Source organism: Homo sapiens, chromosome 1, assembly GCF_000001405.40.
Source record: "Homo sapiens chromosome 1, GRCh38.p14 Primary Assembly".
In the NCBI taxonomy this organism is placed as follows: Eukaryota; Metazoa; Chordata; class Mammalia; order Primates; family Hominidae; genus Homo; species Homo sapiens.
The window spans coordinates 168,058,444-168,073,332 of NC_000001.11; the positions used below are offsets into that span (position 1 = coordinate 168,058,444).

Genomic DNA, 14,889 nt, shown 5'->3' on the forward strand with positions numbered 1-14,889 from the left:
TCACATATCTTGATTTTTCTAATTGATTTGGTAAACAATAATATGGTCTTGATGTTCATTGCCCAATTTACAAATAAGATTATGCATCTCATGTTTTTCAGCCTGATCTCCTGATCTGGTTTTTTGTTTGTTTGTTTGTTTGTTTTGAGATGGAGTCTTGCTGTCACCAGGCTGGAGTGCAGTGGCACGATCTCAGTTCACTGGAACCTCTGCCTCCCAGGTTCAAGTGATTCTCCTGCCTTAGCCTCCCAGGTAGCTGGGATTACAGGTGCATGCCACCACACCCGGCTAATTTTTGTATTTGTAGTAGAGATGGGGTTTCACCATGTTAGTCAGGCTGGTCTTGAACTCCTAAACCTCAAGTGATCCACCTGCCTCGGCCTCCCAAAGTGCTGGAATTACAGGCATGAGCCACTGCACCCGGTCCTGATCTGGTTTTCTACTGGGTTGTTTTAATTGAGTTGTTTTTCTTTTCCTTATTGATTTATAAGAGTTCTTAATGCATTTTTGATACTAATCCACTATCGTGTATTAGTGTACAAATATTTTTTCTATTTTATGATTTTTTTCACTGTTTTTAGGCTGTTTTTTGATGAACCATTTTTAATTTTCACATTAAATTTTATCAATCTTTTATGCTTGTCACTTTCTTTTATTTACAAAATTCTTATCTGGAATTTTAAAATTTATCTGAATTTCCTTTTGAAGTTTTACTTTTGACATTTAAGTTACTAATTTATTTGGAACTGATTTTTGTTTATGATGTATATGTGTAACTTTTCCCTGCCCCATTTAGATAGCCAGTTTTTCCCCTGTACATTTATGAAATGGTGAATTTTCCCAGTGATCTGCTATCCCACCTATGTCATATTACAAAGATTTATATAAAACAGATTTGTTTCTAGGCTCTTTTGTTTCATCAGACAATTTGCCTGTCTCTCTGTCAGTATCATACTTTTGTAATTATTATAGCTTTTTAGTAAATCTTAATGGCGGCTAAGGCAAGACCCTTCCTTCTCTTTATTCATTTTTAGAAGGATCTTGGCTATTCTTTGTCCTTTGGTTGATTTTATAATCAACTTTTTCAGTTCTACAAATAAGTCATCAGAATATGCTTATAGTTGTAATAAATCTGTAAAATAAATTTGGGTGAAAATTGTTTATCTTTACAATACAAAGTTATGTCTACATTTATTTAGGCCTTTTTTTCTTTTTTCCTTGAGACAGGGTCTTGCTGTGTCGCCTAGGCTGGATTGCAGTGGCATGATCATGGCTCACTGCAGTTTTGACCTCCTAGGCTCAGGCGATCCTCCCACCTCAGCTTCCTGAGTAGCTGGGACCACAGATGTGTGCCACCACTCCTGGCTTATTTTTGTGATTTTTTTGTGGAGATGGGGTCTCACTATGTTGCCCAGCCTGGTTTCAAACTCCTGAGCTCAAGGGATCCTCCTGTCTTAGCCTCCCAAACTGCTGGGATTATAGGTGTGAACTGCTGCACTCAGCCTAGGCCTTTTACAAAATATCTTTCAGTAACATTTTATTTTTCTGTGAGCAGGTTTTGCATATATTTTTTATAACTTAAAGACACTTTTTGTTGCTGTTATAAATGCATTCCTTTTAAAATTTAGGCTAATTGTCCCCTGCTGATATTTAGAAATGCAGTTAACTTGTATATGATTATGTATCCAGCTACATTCCTTTTCTATTATTTGTATTAATTGGCCCGTAGATATTTTGAGTTTTGGTTTTTGTTGTTGTTTTAAGAGTTGTTTTGTTACCCAGGCTGGAATACATGGCATGATCTTAGCTCACTGCATCCTGTAACTACTGGGCTCAAGCCATCCTCCCACCTCGGCCTCCCAAATAGCAGGGACTACAGGTGTGTGTGTACCACCATGCCCAGCTAATTTTTTTCATCTTTTTTTAGAGATGGGATCTTACTGTGTTGCCCAGGCTGGTCTTGAACTCCTGGGCTCAAGCAGCCCTCCTGCCTCAGACTCCCAAGTAGCTGGGATTACTGGGGTGAGCCACCGTGCCTGGCCTAGAGCATACTTTTTAAATGAACATTTATGCTTTGATACAGTTCTCGTTTATTCATAATTATTACCACCTCATTTACTAATGCAGCCTTAATTTTGTCCATACATCTTGTTTTAAATGATTTGAAGCTGGGCATGGTGACTCATGCCTGTAATCCCAGCACTTTGGGAAGCTGAGGTGGGTGGATCACTTGAGGTCAGGAGTCCAAGACCAGCCTGGTCAATATGGTGAAACCCCATCTCTACTAAAAATACAAAAATTAGCCAGATGTGGTGGAGGCCTGTAGTCCCAGGTACTTGGGAGGCTGAGGCAGGAGAATTGCTTGAACCTGGGAGGCAGAGGTTGCAGTGAGCTGAGACCCCGCCACTGCACTCCAGCCTAGGTGATAAAATAAATGATTTGAGCTGCCATGTAAATTCTTGTTGCATAATTTTTTTCTCATTTATAGCTCTTATGTCCTTTGGCTTAGCAACACAGTTATTTCCTCTGCTACCTATAACTCTACTTTCTTAGCAAAAGAGTTTTTTCTTTATTGGTTTCTTGCTAATCACATGTTTGTAACTGATTCATTATTCCTTTTTCTTCCATTCAGAAAAATGAGAGATCCAAGCATATGTCTCTTAAGTATGTCTCTTTCGAGAATATTTGACCTCTCTATCCTTCCCATTCTCACCTCCCAGTCAGAAATAGAGTGAACTAAACATGTCAGCTTTTCTGGGAGTTTCTAACTGTATCTAACTTAAAAATGTATGTGGAGATTCCTTTTTCTTTGATAGCATAGAAAAAAGTTTTGAAAACACTTTTTAAGTAAGTCTATATAGCTTAAAGTATACCATTTAGTTTATGAAAAAGTAAACATCTTTTTATTATGAAAGTAGAAGTATATAATTGTTACATAATTATTTTAAAAATTGTTAGTCACAATTTAATGTCCATCTTTCCAAACCCTTTCTATGCATATATAATTTTATTCTATGAATTATTCTTTAGCCTGTGTTTTAGATTAAGCAGTATAATGGTGATATCTTTCATGTGGTTTATGGATCATTCATACCCTTTTTAATGGCTGCATAAGTATTTCATTGTATGGATTTGCCATAATTTATTTAACCTATTCTTTCTATATGAACATTTAGATTATTTCCAATCTGTCTCAATTACAGTTGTGCAGTGAAAAAAAGTTTATGTATTTACATATTTTAAGTTTTTCTGTAATATACATTTTTTAAAAGTTAAATTGCTGAGTCAAAGCTTATATTACTTAATTTCTCTTCAAAAATATATTTTACTGGAACTTTACACTATGGGTGGGAGTGTAAATTTATACAGCCACTTTGGAAAACCACAAATAGATCTTCAGTTTGAGAGTATCTATTAAAGCAGAACATTATGCACATACTGAGGTCTAGCAGCTCCTCTTCTAGGTATATATCCAACATAAATATGTACACAGTTCACCAAACAACATACACAAATGTGGATAGTAGCCTAATATTAGTAATCAAAAATGTCGACAACCCAATGTCCACCAATAGTAGAATGGATAAATAAATATTAATATATTTATACCAAGTAATACTCTGCAGCAAAAAGGATGAATGAACTACAGCCAAGTACAACATGGGTGAATCTTACAAACATAATTCTGAGCTAAAGAAGCTAGACATAAAAAAAATGTATTATTCCACTTAATTAAAGTTCACAAGCAGGCAAAATTAATTCATGATATCAGAAGTCAGAATAATGGTTTCCTTTAAAGGGACAGTAATGATGGAAATGGGGTACTTAGGAGACTTCAGGAATTCTGGTTATACTGTTTCTAAATTCTGGTGCTGATTATATGGGCCTGTTTTGTTTGCAAAAATTCATTGAGCTTTTTACCTTAGGATTTTCAACTTTCCCGTATATGTGTTATATTTAGTAAAAAGTTTACAATATCTTTTTTATGTGTAAAAACCGCTTTCAAACTCCTCTCAGTAATGCCTGTTTTCCTGAACTCTTACCATTCTGATATACATAAAAGTCTTTTCCATCTAATAAACATAAAAAGATCAGTTTTTTGTTTTTATCCTATTATTAGTGAGACTGAGCATCTTTTATATATTTGTTAACTGTTATGAGATCTGTTTTTCTTACTGATTTGTAACCTTTTTAAAGATTATGGACGTCTGGTCTGTTATATGTCAAAATATAATATTTTAAATAAATTCAAACTGACAAAATTATTAAGTAATATGTGTTAGGAGAGAAGTTTTATTTTAATAGTTAAATCAGTTTTTAAGAGTCCTTTGTTCTTCAATCCCAGTTCTGTCACCAAATCATTTCTTAAGAGAGTAAAATCTGCTTCATTAGTTCTAAATTCGTAATATGGAGTCCATAAAGAAGATGCTATTTGAAGGCCCTTGTTTTATTGCTTATATATTAATATTCTTTTTTTTTTTTTTTTGAGACAGAGTCTCGCTCTGTCACCCAGGCTGGAGTGCAGTGGCGCGATCTCGGCTCACTGCAAGCTCCGCCTCCCGGGTTCATGCCATTCTCCTGCCTCAGCCTCCCGAGTAGCTGGGACTATAGGCGCCCGCTGCCAAACCTGGCTGATTTTTTGTATTTTTAGTAGAGATGGGGTTTCATTATTCTTTTTACCTAAAGTAGTCTGTTTTTGGAACATCTTTAAACCACATTTTAAATAAAATATCAAAATAGAAGTCTATCCACTGCTATTATATATTACCTTTAGTTTCTTTTCATTTCTCTTTATGTGTTTTCTTAATATGGAGAAGAGGGGAAAGAACATTGGATAAAATTTGTTATATTTGTAGTAAAATTGCACATGAATTTTGTCTGTATTATGTTTTTATAAAATAGCCCTTTAAAAACCAGTTTGCCGCATGCTATTGCCTTTACTTTTCATCCAGTACCAAATTTCTAAGTGATCTCTTAACTAAAATACTTTGTTGTAGTAACTCAACTAGTCTGACTTCTCACTGTTGTGTCTGCGTTTTTATGCTTTTGGTTGGGGGTGCCTTATTGAGATAGTGTGTTTATGTATTTCCTAGACTTACTATATTTTCATAAGTTTCTCATTATTCTTTGTGAATATTTTTATTTATTTTTGTTTTTTTAATATGTAATTCATATAGACGCTCTGCTGTTGCCCGTATTCAGGAGTTCTTCAGACGGAGAAAAGAAAGGAAAGAAATGGAAGAATTGGATACTTTGAACATTAGAAGGCCGCTAGTAAAAATGGTTTATAAAGGCCATCGCAACTCCAGGACAATGGTACCAAATGTTCATGGCATTTTTTGGTGAAATTGCAGTTTCATGCTCTGAGTGTTTTTCCATAATGATTTATCTTCATATATTGCCAATGGGATTTCAGTATTACATTATTAAATCTTCAGTTATCTCTTTATCCAACATGGTTCTTTTAGCCCTATAATATATTGTGAAAGATCATTATTTTTTACAAGAAAACTCTACTAAAAAAATGCAGATTAAAAAAATTTTTAGTTTATACAAGTAATCATTGCTTTTGTTTTTTTTTTTTTTTCCCCCTCTCTTTCTCACATTTGCTGTCTACCTGAAAAGTTTCTGGTGGATTTTTTTTTTTTTTTTTTTTAGCTTGTATTAGCATTCTTTGTTAGTTTTGGAGAGAAGGATTTGGATCTATAAAATCTAAGTTGATTGCAAAAAATTGTCAGGCCACTTTATACCCATTTTTAAGATTGACAAGTGAAAATTTGTTTTAGTGACTTACCAGATGAAATAAGAATAGACCAGAAAGATCTCTAAGATCTTTTGTAGTTTTTACGATCTACAAGTTTCTACACCCAGTGTAATATTAATTACTTAATAAGAAAAGTTTTTGAGATGACTAGTGTAACTGTTACTCTGATCCCTTCATAACTAGAAAGTGTTGTTCTCCTCATATACATTGCATCATCAGAAGGTATCTACAGAATCAGTTTTAATCCATATTACTGCCATATTACCCTTGCTGATGAATTTGTAGCTTGCTTTCTTTAGGATCTAGGTTAAAAAATAACATTTGGGTTGGGGAAGTAATTAGCTCTTTCTATAAATGTCATTGCTAGTAACAATTTACTCATTTTTAAAAGGTTACTCATTATTAATAGAAGTAACCAATTTATATTTCTTGCATTTTATTGCCTAAAAGTTAGCATGAAAATAATTAGAGGAAGGAGTGAGAAAAGAGAAGATAAGTAAATTTAACAGTAGCTCAGATAACAATAAAATTGTCTCCCCTCTTTTGTGAGAGCACCAAAAATGGCAAAGTAGCAGCTGCAGTTAAAATTTTTTAAAATCCTTGTTTGAAATACAAAGATTTTTGATGTTTCATTCATGTGCATTCATTTAAAAATGTCATTATAACTATTCCAGTATATCATATGCCTTTGATTCTGCTTCATAAAATTAAGTATGTTTGTATCTTTCTCAATTGTGTTAGCTTATAATAGCTAATGATCTTCTTTCTATTCTTTGGGTCTAAAGCAAAATACAAAAGACAATTTCTTTTATCTGTGAATTATTTCATTGTCTTATAAAGCTAAATTGGTACAATTTTTGGAAAGTTCAGCAACATATATGTAAATTGCCATTATACTGCCCAAAACCCAGAAATCCTATTCTTTCATTTAGCAGTTAATAATTAAGCACCTATTGTATCCCAAGTACCATTTCAGGTGCTGTAAATATAGTATTGAACAAAGCAAAGTCCCTCTTCTTAGGGGGGATTTTCTATTACTTACTGCCATCTTACCCTTGCTGATGAATGCCTATCATAATTTAAAGAAGCTAGAAGACAGATTTTTGTCAGTTTTTTTTTTTATAGATAGGGGATCTCACTATATTGCCCAGGCTGGTCTCAAACTCCTCAGCTCAGGCAGTCCTCCTGCCTTGGCCTCCCAAAGTGCTGGGATTACAGGTGTGAGCCACTGCGCCCAGCATCAATTTTTAATTTTACTATTTTCTAAGCCAGTTTTTTAAAAAATGTAAGAATTAAAACAAATAAAAAAATGTAAGAGTAGCATAAATCTTTGTTTTAATAACTTTGATTTGAATTTTTAAATAATTTTTTTTAACCCTTAGATAAAAGAAGCCAATTTCTGGGGTGCTAACTTTGTAATGAGTGGTTCTGACTGTGGCCACATTTTCATCTGGGATCGGCACACTGCTGAGCATTTGATGCTTCTGGAAGCTGATAATCATGTGGTAAACTGCCTGCAGCCACATCCGTTTGACCCAAGTAAGATATCTTTTCTAGGACGAGGGCTAGAAATTATTTGTATGACTCATCAGTCATACAAAATTATTCTTTTTTAATTGTTAATATTATAAGAATAATCCAAACTATCTGACTAGGCAGCAGTAGAGTCAATTACAGCTGAACTTGCACTTCAAACACACCTGTAATCTGCTTTTTGCACAAAGTAAAAGAAAATAGGTTAAAAAGTTTATTCTCCCAATATTTCTTCTAAGTTTTACAAGCTGTAAGAGGTTTGGTGTGACTGAACTTTTTATTGTATATCCAAATGGAACATCCAGTCATTTTTAGTCTTCACATAGCTGAATTAATTTATCAGAACAAAAGAGCATTGCTCGTCTTCTTTTTGAAATTGCCCACATATCTCATAAAAGAACAATGAATAAGTGACTTCAACAATGAATCTGAGTGACTTCAACATGGTATTAAAATTACGTTCTAGGATAACATTTAGCAAATTGTCAAAATAATATTTTCAATTAACAGTTAAATATATAGTGTACAATTGCTGTTCAAGGTTAGTTTTGCTATATATACATATATGCATAATATAAGCATATCCTGAATTGCATGTTTCTAGGCTTCATATTAATATATAAATTTTATTTCTAGTTTTAGCCTCATCTGGCATAGATTATGACATAAAGATCTGGTCACCATTAGAAGAGTCAAGGATTTTTAACCGAAAACTTGCTGATGAAGTAAGATTTTTATTGTACTTACTATAGACCATATTTCAATTTGTTCCTAAAATGCTTCCCTAAGAAAAATTAAAAGTTATTAGTTGCTAACATGAAACAAGTTAATGCAGTTAAGGAGGTCAAATTTTAAGAAAAAGAAAAATTAAGATAAAAGGATGTCTATAATACTAGGGAGGTAAAATCTAAATAGTAGCTTACTAATTATAATATTCATCATCGGTAACACCAGATTAGGTGTATAGTAGTTTAAGAAAAACAGGTTTGAGTATTCATGTTATTACAATAAAGAATCACACACAAAAAAATCTGTCCTTTTAAGAAAATAATTTTATTATAACTGTTTCTCCAAAAGCCTAGCAATTTTTCCATTTTTAGTACAGCTATTTTTCCATTTTGAGTTTTTCTTAAAAAGGAAATGGAACTTTGTTTTTCAGGATTAGTATATAGCAGAACAAATGAGTGAAGAATCTTTTCCTTTATCATTATATTTTAAGATTTTTTTAAGCCTGTTAAAACAGTATTTTCAGCCTGAGTTCTTTGGAGCTCTGGATTTCTTCTGGGATGGGAGAGGGAAGGTGGATAATAGGAAGGCATTACTCTGGGCCTTTCCTCCCCAACTTCAACCAGGGTTTTTATTTGTGGGTTCTCATATACTATTTCTTATGAAAATGAGAATCCATTGCTAAAAATGTTAGTAAGTTGGAAAACCACTACTCTAGACTAACACTGACTGTTCGTAGCACAATTCCCATGTATACTTTCACTCATTGAATAGGCATTTATAAAACAGTTGATGTATTGTATACATAATGCTGGGTGTAAAAAAGATAAGGCCCTACCCTCAGAGTTTAGTGGGAAAGACAATGTAAACAGCTAGAACATACTGTAGTGGGGTCTGTGTCAGTCAGAGGTATACACATAGTGTTTTGGAAGCCCACAGAGAGGAACAGCTGTTTGTAAATGGGGTAGATAGGATGGAGAGGTCTTCACAGAAGAAATAAGAATTGGACAGAAGTCTGAGAATAGTTCACCAGGCAGACAGGGAGCAAAGCAGCATTTAAGACAGAAGGATCAGCATGTGCCAAAGCATGAGAGGGTAAATGAACCATCAGTGTGCCTGGAACCCTAGAGTACATGCACAAAAGTAGCTTAATCAAACTAAACGGTTAGGTGAGGGTAAGATTGTGAAGGGCCCTGTGGGGCACCCTGATGAGTTGGGAATTTATTATTTCAGTATTGGGGAACTGTTGATCAGAGTAGCATCTTTCTCTTCCTCTCATACTCTTTCTTTCATCCTTTTTTTCCTTTGCCATGTTTTTTGCTTTTCCACTTTTTTCCTTTGCTCATGGTTACATATTGCATCTCTGGGTGTTCACGAGTATTCAAGTAATCCTATTCTTGGTACTTAAGGCTCAGTTTCTTGTTAACCCTTGCCCAAAAATTTATTTTCCAAGACTACTCTGCCTCAGTCAAGGTAACATCTTTTCAAGGGATTCAAGTGGCCCATGGATAATAATTTAACTGTATTTCGTCACTAAAGTTATCAGTTCTCCTATAGGGAAAACAAGGAGCCAACAAAGTAAATGGCTCTGAGAAGCAAATTGCAAGTAAAAGCTAAATTAAATTCTTAAATGTTTTAAGTAGCCTCAAAATTTGACCTTTGTTTTTCTGCCATTTGAAAGAGTTGTGTTCTTTGACCTTCCTCCTTTAAATACAAGTTACAGTGATTATTTGGCATTGAATAGACTTAAGGCAGAAATATAGACATCAGACGCATAAAGAATGAAGTAATTCCTCCTGGTACTGGCTGATTGTTTACGGTTTGCCTGATCTTCAAGGAAAAAATACAGTTACTTTATGATCTTTGATACGATTTTTAACTTGCCTTGTAGGTTATAACTCGAAACGAACTCATGCTGGAAGAAACTAGAAACACCATTACAGTTCCAGCCTCTTTCATGTTGAGGATGTTGGCTTCACTTAATCATATCCGAGCTGGTAGGAACTTTAAGTATACTACTAAAACCATTTTTATATTTGAAAATATATTATTATTTAAGATCTGCTTTAAAGGGGTTTATATATATTTTTTAATATCACAAAATGAGGGTAGCTTAACTTCTAAACTAGGATTTCTGTGAATGCTTGATCTTGGCACAGTAACTTAGTTCCTCATGAACTACATTTGTCGTAAAATGGTCAAAATGAAAAGACCAGAGTCACGTAAAAACTCTTATCAGCTGCTGTTTTCTTAGAGTACATAACCTTAGGATATATTATCGTGCATATTCTTTAATGGTAGGTTTGTTGAAAATCAGTCATAGCCCAAACAGAAATAAATGTGACATGCTAAGAAATGAAACATACCTCAGTTTGCTTTTTGAATATTTTTTTGTTTTAGATAAACTGTGAGGTGCAGTGCCACAGATACATAAAAATGCATATATTACAACTAATGTTCAAGAAGGAATTGAATAATTTATAACAAAAGAAAAGGTCTAGTATCTGTTATAAGCAGAATATATTTATCAAACAAAAGAGTTTTACCACTCTTCACTGATTTCATAAATGTCCCCATACGTTTGGTATTAGCTATCATTTAATAATAATAGGTACCATTTATAAAGTAACTATAATGTATCAGGCTTATACTAATTATTTCACAGCTTTATCCTCATTTACCTCCAATCCTTTACAAAGTAGGTTATTTGTAATAACTTAGCCCAAGTCACACAACTGATAAATATTAAAGCCAGAATTTGAAATTAGCTTCCAAGCCCTTACTCCCCTTTGACCTATAAATTTCACTTACAGGAATATATTCAAATCATTCATATGACATGCAAACCTCTGGATGATCTAATCTCAAACTATTCTAGCTGATTTACAGCATTCTTTTCTTCTGTGACTACTCCATCCACACTGGCCCTCTTTGATTTTTGGGGATACACCAAACTCTTTCCCACCTCAGGGTTTTTATAATCGTGCTGTCCCCTCCCATCTTCACTCTGTTGAGATAACTTCTTACTGTAAGAACTGCATAAGCAGTGAATTAAATATCACTTCCTCAGAGAGAGTGGGGAATGGAGACAAGTATTCCACAGAAAGTAGACAGCGTATAGCGTTTTTCTAAGCCCTAGAGGAGAGAAAGTATAGCACATCTGAAAAATTGAAAGAAGACCCATATGTTTGTAATTAAAAGAATTAGAAAATAATCCTCAAATGTAAATATTAACTTTTACCAGGAAAGAGGGAAAACTTCAAATGGTGAAAACAACAACAAAAAATAAACCTGGAATGTAAACAAAAAATGTTAATAGACCAACAAAATGTTTTTGTGATCTTCTTTGGGTTCCTGTATTATTAAATTATAATAACACTGTAACTTTTTTAAAATATATTTTGTTCAATAACAGCAAGTAACCCTTAAAATTCATCCATTTGAATTTCACATTTGAGGAAGCAGCATTTTAAAACAAGAAAAACGTTTACTGGTAATGACACCTAAAATGTGCTTACTCTTATCTAGTGGATGGCTCTTCCTCAGTAGTTTTCCTGCAGAAAATTAATTCTCTTTCCAGTTGCACAAAAATCTATTTGTGCTAATGTAGCAATGGTTGGTTAGTTAATAGCCACTACCATCCTTCTTTGGTTTTAGAATTAGATAAGGTGTTTTATAATATAAAAATTCTCTTTCATTTCTTTTTGCCAGCAATCAAAAAGACAATTTCTAGTTGGTTTAGTCAGCTTATCTTCTTGCTTCTCTTATACAAAATACTAGATAGAATAAAGTGCCCAAGAGTTAACATTTCTGCTGCCCTTATCTTTAAGATATCTAGTTATTTGATGGGTCAGTTAGTCAACCACTCTTTTTCTCTCCTATCCAGTGTCCTGCAGTCCAAATACAATAATGTGTGCATATTCAGGAGAGTTAAAAATGGACTTGGATCAAATAAGCACATGGTAGCCACAAAGTACCTCTCGGCTCATCCATTACTCCAGAAGGCTTCCTAGGAAGTCCAGGGAATAGATACGGACAGTTTCTTTCTGTTGGAGCTGTGATTTTTAATGAAGGAGCCTCTTAAAATCATCTGTAGGGGTTTTACAAACTACAAATACTTACCTAGGTCTCACCTGCTAAAGATTCTGGTTCATTTTAGCTGGATAGAGATTAAGCGTCTACATTTTTAAAAAGCAACCAAAGTTAATCTCATGAATAATGCACTAAAGACTGCTAGTCTAGTGGCCACTTGAGATGGAAAGGCATTTCTGACATCCCTAGAAGCTTTGAGAGGCTTTGGAAAGATGGTAATGGTTTGCATGGATCATTCTAGACTCCTCTAGAATGTCTTAGAATCACTTTACTGCCCTGCTTAAAATTCTCCTTTGCCCACACATGTTCTTAGGGTAGAGTCCAAATGTGTTAACATGTCTTATAAAACCCTGCATTATCTCTTGACATTCTTCCCATTATACCTCTGGATCTTAGCACAGATAGTTATCATTTCTCTGTCATGGGTTTGCAAAGCCTGTTATCCTATTGAGATCACAATCACTTATTAAATCGTTCACAGATTGACTCCCTCAGTAAGTGATACTAACTTTACTCCAGAATAGACCTAATATTTATATACCCTTGATCTCCCTGCTTCTACTTCTCTTGTCCTCATAGTCTGATTTTCACACAGCAGCCAGAGGGATCCTTTCAAAACAGGTCAGTTAATTTTTTTGTTAATGGCCAGATATGGTTTTTATTGTAACCACTCAACTCTGCCATTGTAATGCAAAAACAGCCATAGACCATATGTAAATGAACAGGTATGGCACTTATAATAAAACTTAATATATAAAAACAGAGCCAGGTACAGTGGCTCACGCCTGTAATCTCAGCACTTTGGGAGGCTGAGGCAGGTGAATCACCTGAGGTCAGGAATTCAAGACCAGCCTCGCCAACATGGCAAAACCCCGTCTCTATAAAAATAAAAAATAAAAAAAATTATAAATACAAAAATACAAAAATTAGCTGGACGTGATGGTGCACACCTGTAATCCCAGCTACTTGGGAGGCTGAGGCAGGAGAGTCACTTTAACTTGGGAGGTAGAGGTTGCAGTGAGCCAAAATTGCGCCACTACACTCCAGCCTGGGTGACAGATTGAGACTCTGTCTCAAACAAAACCAAAATCAGGCAGTGGGCTGTATTTGCCTATGGGCTATAGTCTGCTACCACCTTTTTAAAACACAAATTAGATACCACCCCCTCTTAAAATTCTCAGGGACTCCCTATTGCTCTTAAAGTAAAACCCAGACTTCTTACTCTGGCCTTCAAGGTCCTACATGACATACATTCTGCCAACCTCTGACTTCCACTCAGTCCACCTTTTTTTCTAGCTCACTACATTTTAGCCATACTGGCCTCTCTTCCTCAAACTCATCAAGCTTAGTAGCACATTTAGGACCTTTTCACTTGTTCATCTGCCCAACTTTGCCCCCAGGACTTCACATACAATTGAGGTCTTAGCTCCAATATCACCTCCTTAGAAAAGTCTTCCCTGGTAGTGCGGTGGCTCATGCCTGTAATCCCAGCACTTTGGGAGGCCGAGGCGGGTAGATCACGAGGTCAGGAGATTGAGACCAGCCTGGCCAACATGGTGAAATCCCATCTGTACTGAAAAATACAAAAATTAGCTGGGTGTGGTGGCGCGTGCCTGTAGTCCCAGCTACTTGGGAGGCTGAGGCAGGAGAATCGCCTGAACCCAGGAGGTGGAGGTTGTAGTGAGCCGAGATCGCACCACTGCACTCCAGCCTGGTGACAGAGGGAGAATCAGTCTAAAAAAAAAAAAAAAAAAAAAAAAAAAAAAAGAAAAGAAAAGTCTTCCCTGGTCACTCAATCTAAAGTTGTTTTCTGTGTCTTCTCATATCTTCCCTCTCACTTAGTCATTCTTGTTCATTGCCTTATTTTCCTCAAGTACTTATCACTCTTAAGCTTTAATTTCTTTATTTATTGTCTTATTACAGATTAGAGGAGAAAAATACAGGTGGTACCTTGTTTGTTGTCTATCTTCCTCCTTAGAAAGTAAGCTTATAAAGAGCAGAGACCCAGTTTGTCTTAATTTGCAGCTGGGTCTTTAGGCTCCTAAAACAGTGCCTACCACATAGTAGTTGCTTAACAAATACTGAGTATTCTGGTAAATAAGTACACATCTAGTATCAAATCTCTAGCTAACAATGAATTTGTATTATTTCTTTTAAAGAAAGTAAATAAATTCTTTGTAAAGGGTAGCCTGGAAAATAAAACAACAGTGTTTTTTGTGAAACACAGGCTTCCATTGGGAAATTTTTTTCTTATCTACCTTCCCTCCCTCTGCAGCAAACTCAGTGTCTCTTCATATCATTATCTTCCCCAGTTTCCTGAAGAAATATTCTAACAGAATAAAAGGAACCTTTCTACAAATGTAAACCTTATTTACAAAAGCAATTTGACATTGCTACTTCTGAAAAACAGTATACATAGACATCCTGGCTAACATGGTGAAACCCCATCTCTACTAAAAACAAAAAAATCAGCCGGGTGTGGTGGCACGCTCCTGTAGTCCCAGCTACTCGGGAGGGCGAGACAGGAGAATCGCTTGAACCCGGGAGGCGGAGGTTGCAGTGAGCCAAGATCGCGCCACTGCACTCCAGCCTGGGCGATAGAGCGAGACTCGGTCTCAAAAAAAAAAGAAGAAAAAGAAAAACAGTATACATAGAAGTGATTCTTATTTCCAGTTTTTATTTAAGAGAACACACTGTTCTTCAGACCTCCTTGTCTATAATTGCCAACCAGAGATTTGTATAAGTGTTAACTGCTTTGCAGCCTTACTACTTCA

At 35.1% G+C, this 14,889-nt stretch overlaps 1 protein-coding gene across 25 annotated transcripts in view; it reads left to right on the forward strand.

The window, feature by feature from the left end:
- DCAF6 (DDB1 and CUL4 associated factor 6) overlaps positions 1-14,889 on the forward strand; it is a 212,261-nt gene that overhangs the window by 194,868 nt on the left and 2,504 nt on the right. For all 25 annotated transcript variants that reach the window (NR_146229.2, NR_146230.2, NR_146228.2 and 22 more), the window contains 4 exons: positions 5,178-5,316; positions 7,147-7,303; positions 7,934-8,022; positions 9,915-10,020. Coding sequence is in view for 22 of the 25 variants with exons in the window: in XM_047425194.1 (XP_047281150.1) it covers positions 5,178-5,316; positions 7,147-7,303; positions 7,934-8,022; positions 9,915-10,020 (491 nt within the window). In the remaining 3 variants the exon portion in view is untranslated. The remainder of the gene's footprint in view (positions 1-5,177; positions 5,317-7,146; positions 7,304-7,933; positions 8,023-9,914; positions 10,021-14,889) is intronic.